The sequence below is a fragment of the Homo sapiens genome, chromosome 4 (genome assembly GCF_000001405.40).
Source record: "Homo sapiens chromosome 4, GRCh38.p14 Primary Assembly".
Taxonomy (NCBI): Eukaryota; Metazoa; Chordata; class Mammalia; order Primates; family Hominidae; genus Homo; species Homo sapiens.
In genome coordinates this window covers 9,793,269-9,814,575 of record NC_000004.12, presented here as the reverse complement: position 1 = coordinate 9,814,575, position 21,307 = coordinate 9,793,269, and the positions used below count along the sequence as shown (strand labels likewise).

General features: G+C 44.6%; 1 protein-coding gene across 18 annotated transcripts in view; it reads left to right on the top strand.

Moving 5' to 3' along the window:
• Positions 1-21,307, top strand: part of SLC2A9 (solute carrier family 2 member 9) — a 269,246-nt gene that overhangs the window by 225,695 nt on the left and 22,244 nt on the right. For 3 of the 18 annotated variants that reach the window (XM_011513861.4, XM_011513860.4, XM_047415978.1), the window contains one exon: positions 15,338-16,796. The exons of 12 other annotated variants lie outside the window; for them this stretch is intronic. In XM_011513861.4, the coding sequence (XP_011512163.1) occupies positions 15,338-15,379 (42 nt within the window). In that variant the 3' untranslated portion in view covers positions 15,380-16,796. Of the gene's footprint in view, positions 1-15,334; positions 16,797-21,307 lie in introns of those variants that run through there. 3 more of the 18 variants (XM_017008458.3, XM_011513859.4, XM_017008460.3) reach the window with 1 other exon arrangement.

The window sequence follows — 21,307 nt, the reverse complement described above, 5'->3', positions numbered from 1 at the left end:
GAGAAGAACACAATCAATTCACAGAACCATGACAAATAATAAATTATTGTTGCTTTAAGCCACCAACTTTTGGCATGGTTTGTTAAACAGCAATAGATGGCTACTACAGACCCACTGTTTCTGGCCATGTTTTTCTCACCATTCAGTGAGTTTTTTAGCACTTCTTGGATCCCCAAACAAGACCAGAATTAATATACTCTGGATTAATGGTTAATTCATTCATCTACCAGACGTTTTTTGAGCATTTACTTTATGCTTGTGCTAGGTAATTGGAATATAAAAATAGCTGAAACAAATACCTACCTTCAAGAAGTTGAGAAAATGGTAGGTAAGACAAACCACTGATAGCCAGAATGAGTCTAGTGTTTCCTCTGTGTAGAATGTCCTTCTCCTCCTCTTTACTTGGATAACTTCTATCCATTTCTTTTTCATTTTTGCGATGGAGTCTCACTCTGTTGCCCAGGCTGCAGTGCAGTGGCACAATCTTGGCTCACTGCAACCTCCGCCTCTCAGGTTCAAGCGATTCTCCTGCCTCAGCCTCCCAAGTAGTTGAGATTACAGGCATGTGCCACCACGCCTGGATCTTTTTTATATTTTTATTTTTTACTTTTTTATTTTTATTTTTACTTTTTTTGTATTTTTAGTAGAGATGGGGTTTCACCTTGTTGGCCAGGCTGGTCTTGAATTCCTGGCTTCAAGTGATCCACCTGCCTCAGCCTTTCAAAGTGCTGGGATTACAGGTGTGAGCCACATCACCTGGCCCATTCATTCTTAATTACTATGCTGAGGCACCCTTGCCTCTAGAATTCTTTCTCTGACTCCCCAGTCTGTGCTAGATTCTTTCCTTTTGACTTCCATAGAAGCCTGTGTTCACTTTTATTGATGGATTTATCACTGCTTTAGGATTGTTGTGATTATTTTTCACTTGCACATCTCCCATGATAGACTCTGGGATCCTTAACTACACTGGATTTTTCTTAGGGTTCCACTTTTCTGGCACCTCATAAGTGCTCCTTACATGTTTACTGAACAAATGAATACCATCATAAATATATAAAGAGAATGTGATGGGTGCCTTGTGAAGGGAATGAATGTGGCTCCAGGTGACCAGGGCAGGTGCAGATGCAGATGTGAGCTGCATCTCCAGTGAGGATTAGGATTTCATCAAACTGCGAAGAGGGAAAAAAGAAATACAAGACCAAGGGCTGAAGACATGGGAGTGAACAAGTAAATGGAATATTCAGAGAACAGTAAACTGTTGGTATGGACAAGTGTGGTGGCTATGAGAGTAAAAATGAGAGATGAAACTGGTTGATGGTTTTGGTCTAGACTCTGAAAAGCCATGAGTATCACACCAACACCACTTCCTAAATATTTCTGCAACCCGCCTGCCCCACATTTTCCATATATGGCTGAACATAGGTCTATGCAGAAAAAACTCAATTCTGATACTGCCTCTTACTTGAATAAGTGCTGAGGCTCTGGGAGTTCAGATCATTATAATCAGCCTTCTCATTTTGCTTTCACTAAACATTCATTAGCTGGTTATGAAACCCAAAGAACAGAGGTCACACTGAGTGACAGGGACTCAGCAGCTGCTCACAGTGTAAGATATTTGCTATAATTTACACTAAGATGTGAATGTAATTATCCTTATCAAAATCACTTCCCCTGGCAAATTTGTACATTAAGTCGAGTAAATTTCCTCTCATTAAATCACAGCATTTGGGGACTGCAGTTTGTCTCAGCCAAGAACTAGAGCTTGGAAGTAATAAAGGCAAAGAAAAAAAAACTTGGATTATCAGCAGGAAGTGTGGGTGGTGAGGAGAGAGGCAGTATTTCAGAGTGTGTCGAAAGCCCAAACCTCCAGCAGTTCCATGACTATGTGTCTCTTGAATTTAGAGCAGTCTTTAAAATGTGGCACTTCTCAGCTACCTACGCATTTGGCAAATTGAGCATGTTGCATCTAGATGCAAGACCTAGATGCAGAAAGGACATCTAAAGACAGATATTTTTAGTGATGAGAGCAGGTATGTTAGAAAGGGCTTATAGTTTCAAACCATGAGGAAAAAAAAAAAAACATGTTTATGCTGGAACTATGTTAAGTATTTTCACACATATAATCCTCTTTGGTTTTCACAACAAGACTGCAGGATAGGATATTCACACTCTCTTAATGCCCATTTCTTTTTCTTCTTGGAATTTAACACAATTCTAATTAAATAACTTTAAGTGGAAGTTGGGAACACTGGATATGTCATTTCCGGCTAAATCTCCAGGAGTTGCCGCAGTTTCTACACATAGTAAGTGCTAAATAAAGTGCAGCTGAATGAATAAACTAATTCAAGAATAAGATAATTTTTAAAAATCAGGGATTGTTGAGAGATATAGGAACTAACTTTAAAAGTGCTGAAAATCACCAGGCCAATAAAATTTGGCTGAAACCGAGTTGCATGTAATAACACACTCAACAAATGAATGTTTATTACTTAGGACTCTTTCAGTTACCAGTGACATAATCTGGACTCACAGTGGCTTTAACATAAAAGAAGGAAGTTTCTTATTTGCTTAACTAGGAAGTCTTGTAAGGCTAATGTACAGCAGGCTCGTGTCTTGTCTGGATTCAGGGACTCAAATAACATCTTTCAAAATTTCAACTCTGCCTCCTTTATTTTTTCCTTCCGCTTTTCTCTGCTTGGTTTTATTCTTCAGTTTCTCAAGATGGCAGCCTCCATATCCTCAGCCTTGTGTCTTCTCAGCTTGGCCACCTCAGTGAGGAAAAAACTTCTCCCTCCCAATGTATCAGTTATCTATTGCTGAGGAACAAAATATCCCCAAAACTTAGTGGCTTGAAAAAACAACCTTTTCTTTCCTTACAATTCTGTGCATCAGCAATTCAGGCTCAGCTGGGCAATCCTGTGGATCCCTGTGGTGTCTCCTGAATTTAATCAGTCATTTGTGGCCAGGTGGTGTCAGCTGGAGGTGATTGGTCTGAAATGGCTTTATTCACATGTCAGGGGACTCAACTGGGATGGCTAGAATGGCTGGGATGTCTCTCCCTCTTTCTCTTCTCTCAATATGGTCCCTAGACCAAGTGTTACCATCTCCAAAAGGCCCCAGCCTGACTTCTGACAAAGCAGCAGTGTTAGAAAGGAGAGCAGGAATAGAACCTGCAAGGCCTCTCAAGGCTGAGAACTCAGAACTCATACAACATCTCTTCAACTGATCAAACCAAGTCATGGGACCAGCCCGAATTTAAGGAGAGGGGAAGTAGAATTCAGCTGCTGATGAGAGGCCCCCAAAGTCACATCCCAAAGGGGCATGCAGGATGAGGAGTTACTACGGCCAGCTTTGCAAACTGTCTACCACCCCCAATGTCCAGACTTCAATCTCACGAAGATTTGTATTGGCCCTATTCAGGTCATTTGTGTATCCCTGAGTCCATCCCAGGAGGGTTAGTTCCTCTGATTGGCCAGCTTGGTCATGTGCTCAGCCCAGAAGTGGTGGACAGGGTAGAGGGCAAGAAGTAGAATAATCTCATGGACAACTCTTTCAGAGCCACCTAGAATCAGGGAGGGAATCTCCCGCAAACCAGAAAAGGTTGGAAAAGTTTGTTTGGAAGACACAACTATCGCTAGTGTGGTTCAAAACAGGCTCTGTTCATCATAAGGGGATGATGATCAGCGGTGAGAGCCTAAAGATAAAGTTCAGGGTGTCAAAGGGCATTGCCCACTGGCCCTTCCAGGATGAAAATGCCCCAGCTTACAGGCTCAACCTGTCCGATCTCTCCTTCCTTTGGAAATGAATGCATAACTCTCCAAGCCAACCGCCAGAAATGGCAAATACTTATGTCAGTTAACCCATGTGCCTTTTTCTCATTCCATAATCCCTCAGCAGCTTTCTGATTATAACTTGGCTTCCAGCAAACTGGTTAGGCCAATTTGAACACTGACTTTTCTTAATGATACTATTTTTGCAGCAAAAATTAGTAAATGCTCATGCCTGGCTCATATATCAGTCTCTCGTGAGACTAGTAGGTGTGATTCATTTCCCAGTCCAACTAATTATCAGATACTAAGGAAGATTTCATCTTGAAGGCTAAAAGACACACCATGGTGAATTTACCAAAATCTCATCCCTTAAAGGGTCTCCCTGAGGCCTGGCTGGAGATGCCTGAGCTCATGCTGCACCTGCCTCTAGGTATTGTCCCCACTTCATCTCAGAGGAAATTAAGGATGAGAAAAATGACTTGCCCACAGTCACAGCTGGCAACCATAAAGCAGAAAGAGGCTCTTCACCACTCATTCAATACAATCCATTCATCACAGAACACTTAACTGCGGCTCTACTGTGCACTCGGTAATGTTCTCGGTGTTGGACATATGGTGGTAAAGAAGACAGAAAATGCCCAGCCTTCTATGAGGCTGACATTCAAGTGGAGAAACATGGGAAATAATCAAATAAATAGACCACCAAATAGGTCAAATGGTGATCAGTGCAATGCCAACAATTAGAACATGGTGATGTGCTAGAAGTGTCTGGATTGTGACTTTAGATTGGATGGCCAGAGAAGAATAATATAAGAATAGCATCAAAATGTTACTCGTGGGCTTCAGGTGCCCACCTATAAAATAGGTTACCTGGACAAAATGATTTTTGCATGCATCTGTCTAGACCGGAGACCTGACTTAATATATCACATGAATTTAAAAAAAAAAAAAAAGAAAAGAAAACTTGTTGATGGCGGCTAGATTAGGGTTGTATAGGTTGGGATAAGTTAAAACCATTGATAGTAATAGCAATATCCGTAATTTATTCGGGACTCTGCTAAGTGCCTAAAATGAATTATCTCTAATTCTCACAACATCCCTGCCAGTGCAGGTATTGGTCTCACTATTTAACCAGTGAGGAAACTGGATTCACTGAGGTTAAATAACTTATCCCAAGGGAGGCTGGGAGAAGGTATGTCATGGTGGGTCCTGCAGGCCAGGCTGAAGGGTCGTCTGGAATGTGCTCAGTTGTTTGCTTCTTCTCTCCAGCCTTTCCACGATTCTTCCTCTTGTGCCCGGGCCATTCTGCTCCCTTCTCTCCACCCCAGTACACACAAGAGACTAGAGTCAGGCGCCCTGTGGTCCACAGAGTATTTCTGTTTGAATGGAAAAGACAGTGGGCTACCCATGCCCAACCCTGTTCGCTCCAATCCTCACTAACTAGGTGCTTTCCTGGCTTCAGAGCAACACTAACATTCCCATGACCCCAAGCAACCAACGCAGCTGGGCTGGGGACAACAGGATATGATACCCAGGGACATCTGATCCACACACTCTGCTCCCACCAGGAAACTTCCAGGCTGGGATTATCTGTCCACTTTTGTCCATTTGTATAATTAAAAATCGAGTCTGACATCTGTGACCTGCTCAAGATTTCCTAGAGCCTACCTACTCTAAACCTTAGTTTAATGTACATTCTACCAAGCCACATCATGTCGAGAAAATGAACAGATTTTCCCAACTAGGGCAAATTAGAATCATTCTTTTCCATTGCATCAGGGGGCTTCCAAGAAAGGCCAATTGACTCAAACACAAATGTTGCCCATTTCCAGGGCTGCAGCGAAAATCCTGATGTCTGATTCAAGAAAGAATTGATGCCTCCCAGGTACAGTCCAAGCCAGAGTCATTGTGTTGCACCTTCTTTTGTACCTTCTTTTGTGTGAATGGTGCCCCTGGAGTTGTGCAGGGCAGCTGTGACCCCAAGTCCACATAGGACAGAGGAGAGAGATTCCTAAGCCAAAAGACAGTATTCTCTCTGGTTCACACTGCTGCTCACTTTGGAATCATGTTGCAAAAGGGAGAGACAACCTTTCTCAAAGACTGCATCTATGAGGCATCATCCTGCATGTGGGCAATCTTTATCTGTGGGTGCAAGATGCTGGTGGAAGAATTCCAAAGTCTCTCTTTTAAATGTGGAACCATACTAATAACAGGTTAAATAATTTATCCCGAGAGGCTGGAAGAAGGCGGGTCCCAGTAATAGTTATTACTACTATTATTACTATAAATACAATAATTATTATTACTGATAATTCCAGGGACTGAGGAATTGCTAGCCAAGCCCATCCCCTCAACAAGAGGTCACCACCCAATGGCCCCTAAAGGCTGACTGCTTCTCACTGTGGCCGACGCAGGCAGAGTACACCAAAAGCAGAACCCGCACTTTCAAGTTCCAGTGAGATCAAAGGCAACGTAATGACAGGCATAGAGTGTGTGATTAATTACCTAGGGTACCAGGGTGAACTGGGGCTGGCCCCAGGGGAGAAGAACCTCATCAAAATGGAAACAAGTTTTCTGAGAAGAGGCCTGGCCAGTGGAAAAGGGGGCTTGTGCACAGCTGCTAGAAAAAGAATGAGCACAAGTCCCAGAAGTCAGGTCCCTGCTCCAGCCAAGACACCGTGACAGCCCTGCCTGCTCCTGGCCAAGGATAGAGCTGTGGAGCCAGCCACCCAGCCCAGAGATGGCAATGGGGCTTCCACGATGGCAGTGTTATCTATGGGCTCCATCATGACTTAGAGCCAATCCAGCTGCAAGGTGGCAAGACATGGTGAGATTTCAGGAAAGAGCAAATAAATAGGCCTGGGGCCAACTATTTCAGGGGGCTCGCCGAAACCATGTCGTCCACCTTCACTTGCTGGGACAAGGAGGCTATGTTCTGATTCCATTCTAGGGCCCTGAGAGTCACAAGAAACACGCATTTGACCAGCCTCAACTGCATCTCTCCTTAGAGAAACCGTCCTTGGCCACTGACAGCTGGCCAAGGATTTGGGAGATCTTGAATTCTAGCCAAATCTTCCATCAAGCCTAAGGTCCACATGGGGTAACCTGGCCCGTGTATCTCAACAAATCAGTCAGATTCCTGCAAATCAGTTACTTGAGTTTGCAGAGTCCAAGTAAGTGGCTTCTCAGCAATGCCATTCAGTTGGTAAGTATCCATCACACACTGATGCTATGCACTGGAAATGCAAAAGGCAAGAGGCCTGGCCCAGCTATGGAACAGCTCAGTTCAGCAGAGGAGAGAACTGATAAACAGACAGGAAGAGTCTGTGGCAAGTCTCAACATAAACCATGGAAGCTCAAACAAGAGGCATCTGGCCTAGGATTAGCAGGGAATGTGGGGGAGATCAGGGGGTAGCTTCCTGGAGGAAGAGACATTTCAGCTGAACTTTGAAGAAGCATAGGGATCTATGAGATAAACAAGGAAGAAAGGGCATTCTAGAAGAAATAAAATGAGCAGGGGCATGGGAGATGTGACACAGCATGGTGTGTGCCAGGGACATGGTGTTTCAATGTGGCCACAGCCCTGAGTGAGGACCATAGCAAGTGACAAAGGACAGAGGGGTGCACCTGAAGTTGATCCCTTGTGGAAGTGTCAGCCCCTCTTTTCCATAGTCACGGCATCTCCTCCATCCACATGCCAGCCAGCTGGATGGCCACTATATCTGGGATTACTTTTAAGAAACAGGGTCCATTTTCTGTACCCAGACCCCAAACCATGTGAACACCTGAACAACCAGAAGGCAGGTGTCAGTCAGCTGGAAAAGTGGGCTGAGAAGGGGACTCAGGAGGAAATCGATGAGTTTGGTATCTTTCAGTCTTCAAGAGTCTTAAAAGCCAACCAGATGCTCCTCTAATCAGTTCAAGCGTCCTCTGGAGAAGCTATTTTGAGTTCAAGCATATCCCCCTTGAGTGACTGTCACAGGCACTGAGAGCCAGGCAGCAGAAAGCCATTTTTCCAGCCTAAAGAAACATTATGCAGGGATTTGAAAGCTGATGTTTCCCAGGTTGCTGTGAAGCTAGGCACTCTATATTGTGCTCCCCAACTACCCCCACTTCTCTCCTCCCACCCCCCATGCACACAGCCTTTATTCCAAGGGGAGGGCTCCTTCTCCAGTGCCCTCTTGAGTGGAGCCAAATGCTGAGACCAGCTCAGTCGTGGAGACCCTAACCCAGCAGCACTAGAGGAATTAAAGACACACACAGAAATATCGCATGTGGAGTGGGAAATCAGGGGTTTCACAGCCTTCAGAGCTGACAGCCCCGAACAGAGATTTACCCACATATTTACTGACAGCAAGCCAGTGATAAGCATTATTTCTATAGGTTGTAGATTAATAAAAAGTATTCCTTATGGGAAACAAAGGGATGGCGCTGGCTAGTTATCTGCAGCATGAACACATTCTTAAGGCACAGATCGCTCATGCTGTTGTTTGTTGTTTAAGAACGCCTTAAGCGGTTTTCCCTGCGTGGACCAAGTGTTCCTTGACCTCATTCCGGTAAACCGACAACTTTCAGTGTGGGTGTCAAGGCCATCACGAGCATGTCACAGTGCTGCAGAGATTTTGTTTATGGCCAGTTTTGGGGCCAGTTGATGGCCAGATGTTGGGGCCTGTTCCCAACAGCCAAACATGCAGGTGGAAAGAATTTACTGAGTGTTGACTGCTCCCAGCCTCAGGCTAACACCTTCTCTGCATTCTTTCCTTTGAAGTACAGCACAGAAGAGCAATCCCTGGAGCCAGAGAGCCTAGGTTCAAGTCCAGGCTCCACCGCGTACTTGCTGTGGGACTCTGGTCAGGTTACTTAACCTGCCCTGCCTCAGCATTCTTCACCAGTGAAATGGGGAAAATAGTAAGAACTACTTCTAGAATTATAGTGAGAACATTAGTTGCTACATGGAAAACCCCTAGAACAGTGCCCAGCACTTAATAAGCACACAATAACTGTTGGCTATTGCCATTACTATTCATCCACAGAGTAGTTATGGAAGATAGAGTGGATGCTTCTTTATCAAGATCAAAGGGGGCTTTTTTTTTTTGAGACAAAAAAAAAAAAAAAAAACTGACACCCTGCTGCGCAGGCTGAAGTGCAGTGGTGCGGGCTCACTACAACCTCCATCTTCCAGGTTCAAGCGAGTCTTGTGCCTCAGCCTCCTGAGTAGGTAAGACTACAAGCACCTGCCACCATGTCTGGCTGATTTTTTTGTATTTCTAGTAGAGATGGGGTTTCACCATGTTGCCCAGGGTGGTGTCAAACTCCTGAGTTCAGGTGATCCACCCGCCTCAGCCTCTCAAAGTGCTGGGATTACAGGCATGAGCCACCTCAGGGTTACACTTCCTTGATGAGTTTAATTCAGAAGTGACCAGGAGGTTTTGCTTAGCCAATGAAACACAGATGGGCATGATGTGTGTTGCGTCTGAGCAGAGGCTTTTCGATCCAGCTCATGGCTCAGCGCCTTTCTGTGGTCCTTCTGCTATGAAATCAGCAGCGTCCCATGGAGAGGTTGACCCATCAGCCTGGGTTCTGGAGTGAAGCACCACTGGCTACACTGCAGTATGAGCAAGAAAGTAAAGCTTTGCTGCTGTAAACCACTGAGATTCAGGGATTGTGTGTCATGTGGCCTAACTCAGCCTAGCCCAGCTGACTCAGTCAGTGGGAGACACAGGCAGGAGATCTGCAGGCCGGCAGAGGGCGAGGCCAGGGCAACTCTACTTCAGGCAGAGTCTCTTTCAGGGGCCACATTTCCCCTGGGGCCCCATCATCTCCTCTTTTTGTCCCTCTGGCTCTAGGGAGGATAGAAGCCTCCTGCTGTCCCTAACAACAGGGCTGTCCCCACCCCTGTTAGCCCTCTCAGCTCTTCCAACTACTTCCCCCTGTTAAAGTCTGTCTTTTGAACTTCCAAGCCTGGGTTCTGCTGTCATGAGTGGACTCTACCCTAACAAAGTGGCGAAGCTGGAATTAGAAACCGCATCAAACTACCTCAAAGCCCAAGCAATTCTCTCCTGTCCGTCCTGCTGCAACTCTTGAAGACTGTAGTACTGATGTGGCAGATGGGAGGATTAAAGAAGAGTGATTCCAACACAATAATAGGAAAAAATGCAGCATTTGGCCAAAGACAGGATATAGCCTCAAAATCCTGGTGGGAGGAGAGGAGGGGAGCAGCATCACAGTAGGCAGGCAGGTAACTTGCCTGGCATGTGGTGGTGAGTCAGCAAATGGGAATAAATCAGTGGCCTATAAAGAGGGTCCTACCCCTCACCATCCTCCCAGAACAGAAGGTGCTTTCCACAGCTCACAGCTGCTCTGCTCAGCTGAACAGCCCATGGGTGAAGGAAGTGAGGAACAAAAGTCAAAGAGAAAGGCAGATGAGTTGAGGGCCATTTAAAGAAGTTGTGAACAGTAAACCAAGCCCCGGTGAACTCTACATGTGTGTTGACCTCTCTCAACCTAGACCTGCTGGCACTACCCTGGAACCATAAAAGTTCATGGCTCCTGAGTCCACTCAGCAAATCCCTATTCACCCAGGAACATTCATCACCTTTCTTCCAAAAGCTTTCATGACACCAGGTAGAGCTATTTTCTTCTCCTCATACACAGAGTTTCTAGTGATTTAAAATTGTATTTTTATCATCTGTTCATGTATCTTGCTCTCCTTATAACTATGAACTTCTTGAGAAGAACATGCATGGGTAAAACACCTTCAGATCACTTTGCAGAGCACCAATGGTTAAATTAAAAAGTGCTTGATTCATATTTTGTTGGAAGACAGGGAGGGTAAGAAATGAATAGATATAACCTTTAGACAACTTCATCTAAGCTTTATCAAAACAAAAACACAATCTATCTTGGTGATTATTGTATCAGAGGATCTAACATATCCCCTAGCACATAGGAGGTATTTAATAAGTATATCCTTCATTCATTTATCCAACAATTCTTTATTGAGAGCCTACTGCATCCGCTGGGTTCTAGGCACTGAGGACACCATAATTAAAGGACAATGAAGAACTCAGTTCCTCTTAGTGCTGACATTCTATGGGGTAGGCAGACCAGACACATAATATCAAGTGATAGCAAGTGCTACTGAAAATACTTGCAGTAAGAGGTCAGAGTGTGATAGAGCATGTCTCCATAGCTGTCAATGAAGGTTTCCTCAATCTCTCCTGGTGGATAGTGGACCACTCTTTTAGTGGCAAAGAGATTTCAGGCTGCGATGGGATCCTGGCTTTGCTGTGTACTGGCTTTGGGACCTTAAGAAAGTGACATAAGTTCTTTGAGCCTCAGTTTCTCATCTGTAAAATGGGAAGAATATTGCCTATGTTAAGCATTGATGTGAGGATTTAAATAAATAATTCATTTAGCACAGTTCTTGGTAGATAAATGACAATGCATACTGCTAGAGGATGTAGTAAAAATACAGGCACAAAGTGCCGTATATCATCACCATCAAAATCATCATCATCACAGTAACAACCTCAAGCTCATATTGTGTTCAGGCTGTTTAAGAATTTCCCTTGAACTCACATTTAATCTTCAAACAACCCAACTGTTATTAGCCTTATTTAATAGATGAGAAAACAGAGAGAATTAGACAGACTGAAACCTACAAAGGCTAAGTGGTTTGCCAAGGACAAATAGCAAGATAGTGCCAAAGTCAGGCCCAGGTCCAAACCTTCCAATTCCCAGGCCAATACACTTGCCAAGCAAGTTTCATCTCCTCTGACACCATATATCTATCAAGAAAATGGGTGTGAAGTGAATTCCTGCAGTCCAGCATCTACAAAGTATTCTGGGGAAGTTAATTGGGGTCTTCGGAAAGGGTTCTGTGATAGAGTACAATTGGGAAATATTCCTGGATAAGGCAGGATTAGAAAACTCTTTACCCAGCCGGGCGCTGTGGCTCACGCCTGTAATCCCAGCACTTTGGGAGGCCAAGGCAGGTGGATTCACCTGAGGTAAGGAGTTTGAGACCAGCCCGGCCAACATGGTGAAACTCCATCTCTACTAAAAATACAAAACAAAATTGGCCAGGCGTAGTGGTGGGCACCTGTAATCTCAGCTACTTGGGAGGCTGAGGCAGAATTGCTTGAACCTTGAGGTAAAGGTTTGCAGTGAGCCGAGATCACACCATTGCACTCCAGCCTGGGCGACAAGAGTGAAACTCCATCTCAAAAAAAAAAAAAAAAAAAGAAAAGAACAAAAAAAACCTCTTTACTGCTCACCTTTTGGAAGAGATTAATATGCTAATTATGCTAATAAGCATGGAGATTCACCCAGTCCCTTCCTCCATATCATATCGGCCACAGAGCCCTTCCTTCCCAAGTATGGCGCTGGCTGTCCCTGAATGTCCTGGGGAGGCGCTGCAGGGGCCAGCCTGCAGACCCAACATTGTATTTTCCACGTTGCCAGGATCCACAGGTCACTACTTCTTTGAAATTCATTACTTCTCATTATGAGCTCTAGTTTAAAAAAAAAAAAAAGAGCATTTTTCAGAAACATTTCTCCCAAACCCTTTAATCTGTAAATGCCCTGTCTCTAATCAAATATGTACACATACATCCCTATTTCTCTGCTGGAATGGCCGTCTAAAAGGTTCGGTACCGAGTAAACAAGCCTGGCTAGTAAGCACTTGTCTCATGCTGATAAGCCCATCATTGGAGAAGCAGGAACAAGGCCACACTAGGCAAAGCAGGTGGCCTCCTCCAGGGAGCATCTCAAGTGGGATGGAGTAGAGCTCCCAGCGCTGCAGCCCAAACACAGCTGCCCAATCAATCAGCTGGGAGTCCATCTTTTGCTCACCCTTGCCTGAAATGTTCAGCATTAAGTGATCCCCTGAGTTAGATTAAGAAAAGCCATTAAAATGCATCACATTCAGCAGTTTCACAGCACTCCCAAACCTATTCTCTTTGGCCGGTCTCCCTATCCTGTAACCCCCTTGTTTCTTTGCATTGTCCATGTTACAACTTAGATAACTTAGATTCACCACGTGCAGGAGATGCCACTGTAGCTGACTGCAGCTGCTGCTCGGGGGGACAGTTCCTGGGCACCCTGATGGCTTTTCATCTCAATGCCCTCTGAGGCTCAACTTTTCTACCTCAACTTCCTCTGAAGCTAAGGAAACTGGCTCAGCCCGTAGCCCAGCAGTTCAGGAGAGTTAATGTCTGCGAGAACCACCCTCAACGATGGGGATGAGACTCACTGGGTTAGTCCCTCAGCCACTTATGCTTCAGAGCTACAGTGTTGACTGCATTCTCCACAGCTCACTAGGGTCTCCAACGGGGTTGAATTTATTGTGTAAACCAGCTCAAAAACACACCCTCAAGTGGCTTTTCCTCTGTGAGGTTATAATTATCCTCAGTTAGCGGTAGCTACTGCTGGAAGAAACCACTCCCCCAAATTGTATTTAGCTTGTAAGTTTACCAGGCAGTGGCCCAGGAGGGGGTCTTCTGGGCTGAACTAGACTGATCTTGGCTGGTTTTGCTCACATGTGTGTGATCAGGTGGTAGCGAGGCTGAGAGATGGTGGGGAAAGTCTAGGATAGCTTTGCTCACCTGCCAGGTGGTTGACTGCCTGTCAGCTGGAGGGAAAGAGGGGACTGAGCCATGTGTCTTTTTTTTTTTCCTCCTGACAACAAAAGCCACATTCAAATGAGCCACGTGTCTTACACATGTGGTAGAAGCAGGGTTTCCAGAAGCAGCCAACACCAGTCTGCAAGTGCCTTCCACACTTCTGCTGGTGTCATGGTAGCTGCTGTGGCATCCATGAGAAGAACCTGGCAGACCTCCAACTCCAGGGACTGCGCCTGACTGCATGAGTGTACTAGGATGGCTGGAACAAAATACAGTTGTCCCTCGGTATCCATGGCTATTGGTTTCAGGACCCCAAGGATACAAAATCCACAAATGCTCAAGTCCCTGATATAAAATGGCATAGTATTTGCATATCACCCCACACATCCTCCCATCTACTTTAAATCATCTCCAGATTACCTATAATACCTGATGCGTTGTAAATGCTATGTGTAAATAGTTGTTATACTGCATTATTTTTATTGATGTATTGTTATTTTTAGTGTTCCTTTTCCTGAATAATTTTGATCCGTGGATACTTAAATCCAAGGATGCAAAACTCACAGGAAGGCTGAGTGTACCACAAAGTGTATGGATTAAACAACACAAAAGTATTTTCTCACAATTCTGGAGGATAGATGTCCGAGACCAAGGTGTCATCAGGGTTGATTTCATTCTGAGAGCTCCCCGCTTGGCTTATAAATGGCCACTTTCTTTCTGTGGCTTCACATCATCTTCTATACATGCCTGTGTCCAAATTTCCTCTTTTGATAAGGACACCCATCATATTAGATTAGGGGTCCACCATACTCCATAGGGCTTTGTTTTAATTAATAATATCAGCAAGGACATTTCTAAATAAGGTAACATTTTGAAGTACTAGGAGTTCGGACTTCAACATATGAATTTGAGGGGGAAAAATTCAACCCACGTCCATGACCTAGAGCCCAGCTGCAGCACTCTGAAATTCAGTTCTGCACTGAGTTCAAGCTTCACTCAAGCTGCTTCTAGCCAGTAACTGAGCTTGGCAGGGATACTGAGGCAGGCCCTTTCCTGGGAGAAATGGGACTCCAGAAGTCCTGGACCCTCTCTATTTCTTTTTATACCTGCTTACAATTTAGCCAATTCTTTTCTGAGCTCATCTCTTTCTTACAGTAGTGACCAAGGGATGTTACTAATGTTCAGTTTCCCCATCTTTTCACCTTAAGCTTCAAGTTCCTTCAGCACATCATCCGCCCTTGAAGTTATTCCTACAACAGCTTTACCAAATATTTCACCACTGCATAAGATAGATTACCATCTTTCCAACCCTCAGTAACGGTTCTCTTGCTGACTGCCATCTGGCTCTAGAGCCACATATTTTAGGGTTTGTGTTTTGGCCACTGCCCACTCCTGGTACCATAACACCATCTATCAAATCTACCTGTAGGTCATGAGATTACATAGGGCTTCACCAAAACTGGTGTAGAAGTTGGGTGGGGGGGGGGTACAATTGGAATGGAGCTCAGAAAGCTGCACTTGCAGAGTCATTTACGTAAGACTGAGAGTGTGCTGCTGGTCCACATCAGAGGATGGAGATTACTATGGTCTGAATGTCTGTGTCTCTCCAAATTTCATATGTGGAGATTTAATCAAGGTGATAGTTTTAAGAGGTGGTGCCTTTAGGAGCTGATTAAGGCATTTGGGCAGAGCCATTCTGAATGGGATTAATGACCTTATAAAAGAGATGAAGATGAACTTTTGACCCCTTCCACCACATGAGGACATAGCAAGAAGGCATCATCTTAAAGCAGAGAGCAAGCCCTCACCAAGACACTGAATCTGCAGATGCCTTGATCTTAGACTTCCCAGCCTCAGAAACTGCAAAAATAAATAAATAAATAAATAAATAAATGTCTGTTGTTTATAAATTACCTAATCTAAGGTATTTTGTTTTAGCAGCTCAAAGGAACTAAGACAAAGATCATGGAGACCATCGGGTGAGTCTCAAGACTTCCCCCAGCTCTGCTTGGCTGGTCTCCTGCTGGTATTTTCTGTCTGTAGAGAGGAACAAGAACTTCCATTTTATCTTGCTTACCTGCACTTATGAAAAGTCAAACTGAGTCATGCTGAGAGCCAGGGAACATAGGAGTCAGTTCTTCTGCAGCAGCACTCAGCCAGTTGAAGGCAATGTGGAGTGATGGAAGGAGAGCAGTGATGCAGTGATGCTGGCACCAACTCCTTTACTATGGCATCCATTGTACCAGCTGCCATACACCAGGCAACTTCTACACTTTATCTCTAATCATCCTAGAATAAGTATTAGTTTCCCCATCTTCTAGAAAGGAAAACTCAGACCCAGAGACACTAAGCAAGTAGCTCAACATCACACACGTTATCTGTGATTAAGCCTGAGTTAGAAATGGAGCCTTGGATTTCCACATTTATGCTCTTTTCATGAAGCTACCTGACTTTGATACTCAAGTTTGTCCATCTACAACACGGGACTGCTGGACTAGAAATCTCTAAGTCCCCTTTACCTCTGGATTCTGTGTCTCTAAGGATGAGAATAACAAAACTCCTTTGCCTCTAGCACTTTCCAACTGAAGGCCCTATCACGCTCATGACATCTAATCACTGCAGCCAGAAGCATTAAATAAAATGGATGGATTGACATTGGGGGTGGGTGAGGCGGGGAAGTTGGGGGTGTGGAGAAACAACTCTCTTTACATAATGATTGCTACTATGATTTGGTTATAAGTAACCCATGAAGACAATCAGTCTTCTCTGGCAGTCCCTAATTGTAGTGAATGTTGGAATACAGTGACCACACAAATGCTCCAGACTGATTGCGAAGGTGCCACTTCTAAATCAGCTGGGCAAGTGCATTGCATAAGCTGAGTATTTAGCTTAATGATTGGAGCCAGTTGATGAAACACAAGAATCTGGAAGCCTCCTGCTACTTCTCAGAAGATAAGACAATGGCATTCCATCACCAGTGTTTACTGTGGTACCCAAAGGGAGCTCCAGTTACTTTCCTCTGTGCCTATAACCCTTGGATCACCTGGTTGCACCAGACCCATCCTGACTAAAATCCCTCCAAAGGACCAAAGAGGGGATAGGGACAAAAATAAAAAATAAATCTCATCTGCTCTCTTTCCTAAGGACCCAGCAGCCTCTATCCATCCATCGTTCATTCACTCATTCCACACACTTTCATCTAGCCCCTGCTGAATGCCAAGCACTGGGCTGGAACTCTGGGGACTGTGGAGGTGGAATAGGAGAATATGGGCTTTCTGTGAGCAGTGTTTGCCTAAAATATATACATCAAGGTTGTAGGATCATGTGCACCACTGCACTCTAGCCTGGGCGCAGAGTGAGACCCTGTTTCAAAAAAATAAAAAAATTGTAGGATCATGGAGAAAGTGTCTTAAGTGTTTGGTGCTGTGGACAGGCAACACAGGCAGAAACTGGTGGCTAGGGAATCAGAGAAGTTTTCAGGAGGGAGCATTTGACTTGGGCTTGGACTGAGCATCACAGGGCAATATAGAAACAAGTTTATGGATAATTAACTGAATTGGTGGCAGTTGATAACTTGAATCTTCCTTCAGATGATTGAAGTTAGTAGCCCAGCTATGAAAGTCTAGGTTACAGATGTCTCAGCCAGAGCTTGCGTATGTGTGGATGAGGCTCATACATATGCAGACTTGGGCTCCTGCCAAGATATGAGAGTTTTGGTCAGTCTGCATCTCAGTTCTAATACCTCTGCCTAAATACTTGAGTCCAGAGTGGTCATGCAAAGAACAGAACCCTGGAACAATCACACCAAGGTTTGGTTCTAGGCTTAGCCATTTTCTAGCCATGGGAACAAAAGAAAATTACTGAACCTCTCTGAGTCCCAGTTTATTTGTCTGTAAAATAAGGATAGTGATACTGGGGTTACAGGGAAATTGTGAGAATTAAAATAGTTCAGGAGAGGTTAAGTTGTCCTGGGGCCACCTTTGTCCTTGCAGTGACCACAGTCTGTAGTGAAGGCACCCTTGAGAGCAGAGAGCAGAGCTGCTATGTGATTCATCTCTAGAATCCCTGGTTCTTGGAACACTTCCTGAGAGCTATTAGGCACTCAAGAAATGTTAATGGTAGATCACAGTATAATGGTAGATCATAGTATTGTGGTAGATCATAGTATTGTATTATTATTCAGCAAACATCCGTTTTCCCTCCTTTCCATGGAAGTGGTGTACTTCCCCACCCCACTGACATTGGGCTTAGCCATGTGACTTGCTTCAGCTAATGGAATGTGAGTGACTCAGTGAATGCCACATCCAAGCAGAGGCGTTAAACATTCCTGCATGGCCTCTGGTGATCCTGTCCTCCAGCATGAGATGAATATGCTTCAGATAACTGCTGCTACTTCCCTGGATCCTCTCATGACAGCCAAGTGAAGCAAATAGGAAGCCAATTCACCACCCAGATCCAGGCCCATCTGAATCTAGCCAAGCCCAGAAGAGCCCTGTAGAACCACAGCTGACCTATGGAAATGAGAAGTAAATGTTTGTTGCTGGCATTGAGATTTTGAGATTACTTGTTATGTAGCATCATCACAACAAAGCCTGACTAATACATTGTATAAAGTTAATTGAGTACTAACAACACACCAGGTATTGTTCTAAGTCCTTTATATAAAGAATCTCATCTAATCCTTACAGCACTGCATAAGGAGGCATGATAAATATCTCCATTCAACAGATTAGAATTGAGGCATCTTGTCAATCTCATTCATGTTATTCCTCCTCACTTCCTGCATCCAAATGAACCAAGCCTCCTATGTTCATTAGAACCACAGACCAAGACTGCTGGAGAAAGATAGGGCTGTGGAGATGGGAATGAATTGGCAAACAGCTTTGGGATGACAATGTTAAGGTCAGGCAAATGCGCTCAGTAACCTCAAATGAGTGTCGATGTTCATGAGGGCTGCTCAAAAAAGACACAGAAATTGACGTCTTTTATCTGAGGACCCTTCCTCAGCCTCAGGACTTAAGTCTATGGGAGCGTGAGCCACATAGCCATGAGAGGCAGGGGGTTCAGTGAGAAGAATAAGCTCTAGAGTCTCACTTATGGGTCTGAATCTCAGCCGTGCCACATGTACTGTGTGATCTTGAGCAAATCACCGGACCTCTCTATTCCTCAATTTTGTCACCTGTAAAGTGGGACTATTACTTGTACCTACAACCTGGATTTGTTGGGACAGTAAATGAGTTAGTGTTTCCAAGGTGCTTAACACAGAGCATTTGCATGTAGCAAGCACCCAGTCAATGCCCATGACCATGGCCCTCTGCTCATGCTGCTCTTTGGTTCCCCCTGAGGTCTTTTGTGGACAGAGAGTGTGAAAATGCCCTCTAGCCACACAAGGAAACAGGACTCAGGGACAAAGGACCTGTGCCCTGACCAAGGCAATGCGTCCCTCACCATATATGCAGTAGTGCATCCTTTCCTGTTGACTTTTTGATCAGCAATTAAGACTTTAGTCTTTTTTGTTGGTGTGCAAAGTTATTTTCTTAATGGCCCTCCAGCCCAGCCATCACAAAAATGCTTTCCAGCTCTCAGGGAGAACATTTCTGATGCACGCTGAATCCAGAATTCAAAGGAAGCAAAATAAAGGCACCAGGGGCTCTTATGAGACTGAGTGACTCAAAATAGAGGGAATGTGGGGACTTGGGGCATAAGATTGATCATGAATCACCAAATAGAAAAACCCTGGGATGGCTTTCAAGAAGAATCCTCCTTGAGGTTTTAACTTTCACCTACAAGCAAGTTTTCTCACTGCTCAGTACAGCAAGGTAAGGACAGCAGCCTCACAGCATCAGTCTGAGGATAGAATGGGTTAATGCAGCCGGGCACAGTGGCTCATGCCTGTAATCCCAGCACTTTGGAAGGCTGAAGCAGGTGGATCATGAGGTCAAGAGATCGAGGTACCCTGGCCAACATGGTGAAACCCTGTCTATACTAAAAATACAAAAATGCTAGCTGAGTGTGGGGGCGTGCACCTGTAGTCCCAGCTACTCGGAGGCTGAGGCAGGAGAATTGCTTGAACCCGGGAGATGGAGGTTGCAGTGTGCCAAGATTGTGCCACTGCACTCCAGCCTGGGTGACAGAGTGAGACTTTGTCTTAAAAAAAAAAAAAAAAAAAAAAGGATGGGTTAATGCCTGAGAACTCTTTGGCACAGTGCCCAGCACAAATTCAGCAGTCACTCAGTGTTGGCTATCATCTTTGGTGATGTTGGTCCCAAACCCAGACCTCTGCTCTGGTCCTCGGCTCATACACCCACGTGGGTAGCCCATATGCACTTTAAACGTGAGTCCAAAATGGAATCCAAAGTATCAGATCCCCTCGTTGCCACCACCAGGTTTGCTTTCTTCTCAAGCTGCTGAGGGATCCTCAGAAGCAGAGACCATGATGAGAACCCATCTTTAACTCTGGGTCACTAGCACAGGGGCAGAGTAGGCAGTCACTACATCTTCAGAGCCTGTGAGTTTTATTTTGCTTTGTTTTGCAATCTGTCATCCCCACACTCTTACTATATAAGACAGTGCCTAGCCAGACAAGCATAGGTTTAAATCTCCACCTTGTCACTTCTTAGCTGTGTGACCCTGAGTGAGGAGCTTGAGTTCTCTGAGCCTCAGCACCTTTAGCTGTATGGTGAGAATGAACAGACCTCCTTACAGGGCTGCTATAAAGAATTAACAAGGCCAGGTGTGGTGGCTTCCACCTGTAATCCCAGCACTTGAGGCTGAGGTGGGTGGATCACCTGAAGTCAGGAGTTTGAGACCAACCTGACCAACATGGTGAAACCCCATCTCTACTAAAAATACAAAAAATTAGCCGGGCGTGGTGGTGGGTGCCTGTAATCCCAGCTACGCGGGAGGCTGAGGCAGGAGAATCGCTTGAAACCAAAACCAGGAGCCAGAGGTTGCAGTGAGCCAAGATCGCACCATTGCACTCCAGCCTGGGAGACAAGAGTGAAACTCCATATCACACACACAAAAAAAAGGAATTAATGAGATCGCTCTGCACAAATCCTAATGTGGCATATGATATGGGATGAGTTCTAGTAAATGAGCATTTTTTACACTCAAGATGTAAGCATGGTGGTTTCATTATTAGAGATGAGAGAACCAAATTCAGAAACGTTTAATCATTTACTTAAAATCACACAACTGGGACTCATACCCAAGCCCTTTTCTTCCTGGTCTGATGTTCATTCCTTGTTGTCTGAAATGTCAAATCATTTTACCAGAATAGCAGGGGAGAGAGGGACAGAAAGTTGCTTAAATTATTGATTTTGTTTTAGCAGCCTCTCATCCTGCAGGAGGGGCTTGCAGCAACAAAGGCCTGGCACCTTTGAATTTGTTTTCAGTCCATTTTTTAAATCTTCATTCCCTTTAGCTCTTGTTGAAAATGGCTTCCTGCCACTTTGCACAGAAAAATCTCTTTCATGAAATACCAAAACCAAACAAAAAACAGGCCTTTGAAATGCTGTTTTGCCTCCTCCTAAGAGCTAACATTTGCCAGTTGTAAATTAACATTCCTTTCACTTCTTTCAATAGAAAATCAATCAGGGCCCTAAAATCCCTGCACATCTGTATTTAATCCACAAATAATTCAACAATGTTCTATCTTAATGGGATATTGTGAAAGCATAAATGTCATCAACTTCTTTTATGTGGAAAGAAGAATAGGGCATGAACTTGTTTGTGCTCCTAATGTCCTTTGGAAATGGATTCCCAAGGACCAGGAGTGTTCTCCCCACCGACGGTGCACAGTGCCACAGCAAGGACAGTCAACTGGGAGTTGGGAGACCTGGACTTCAGTTCATACCACTTTGCTGGGGTATTTGGGCAAGTCCCTCAGGGCCTCAATTTCCGCATCTG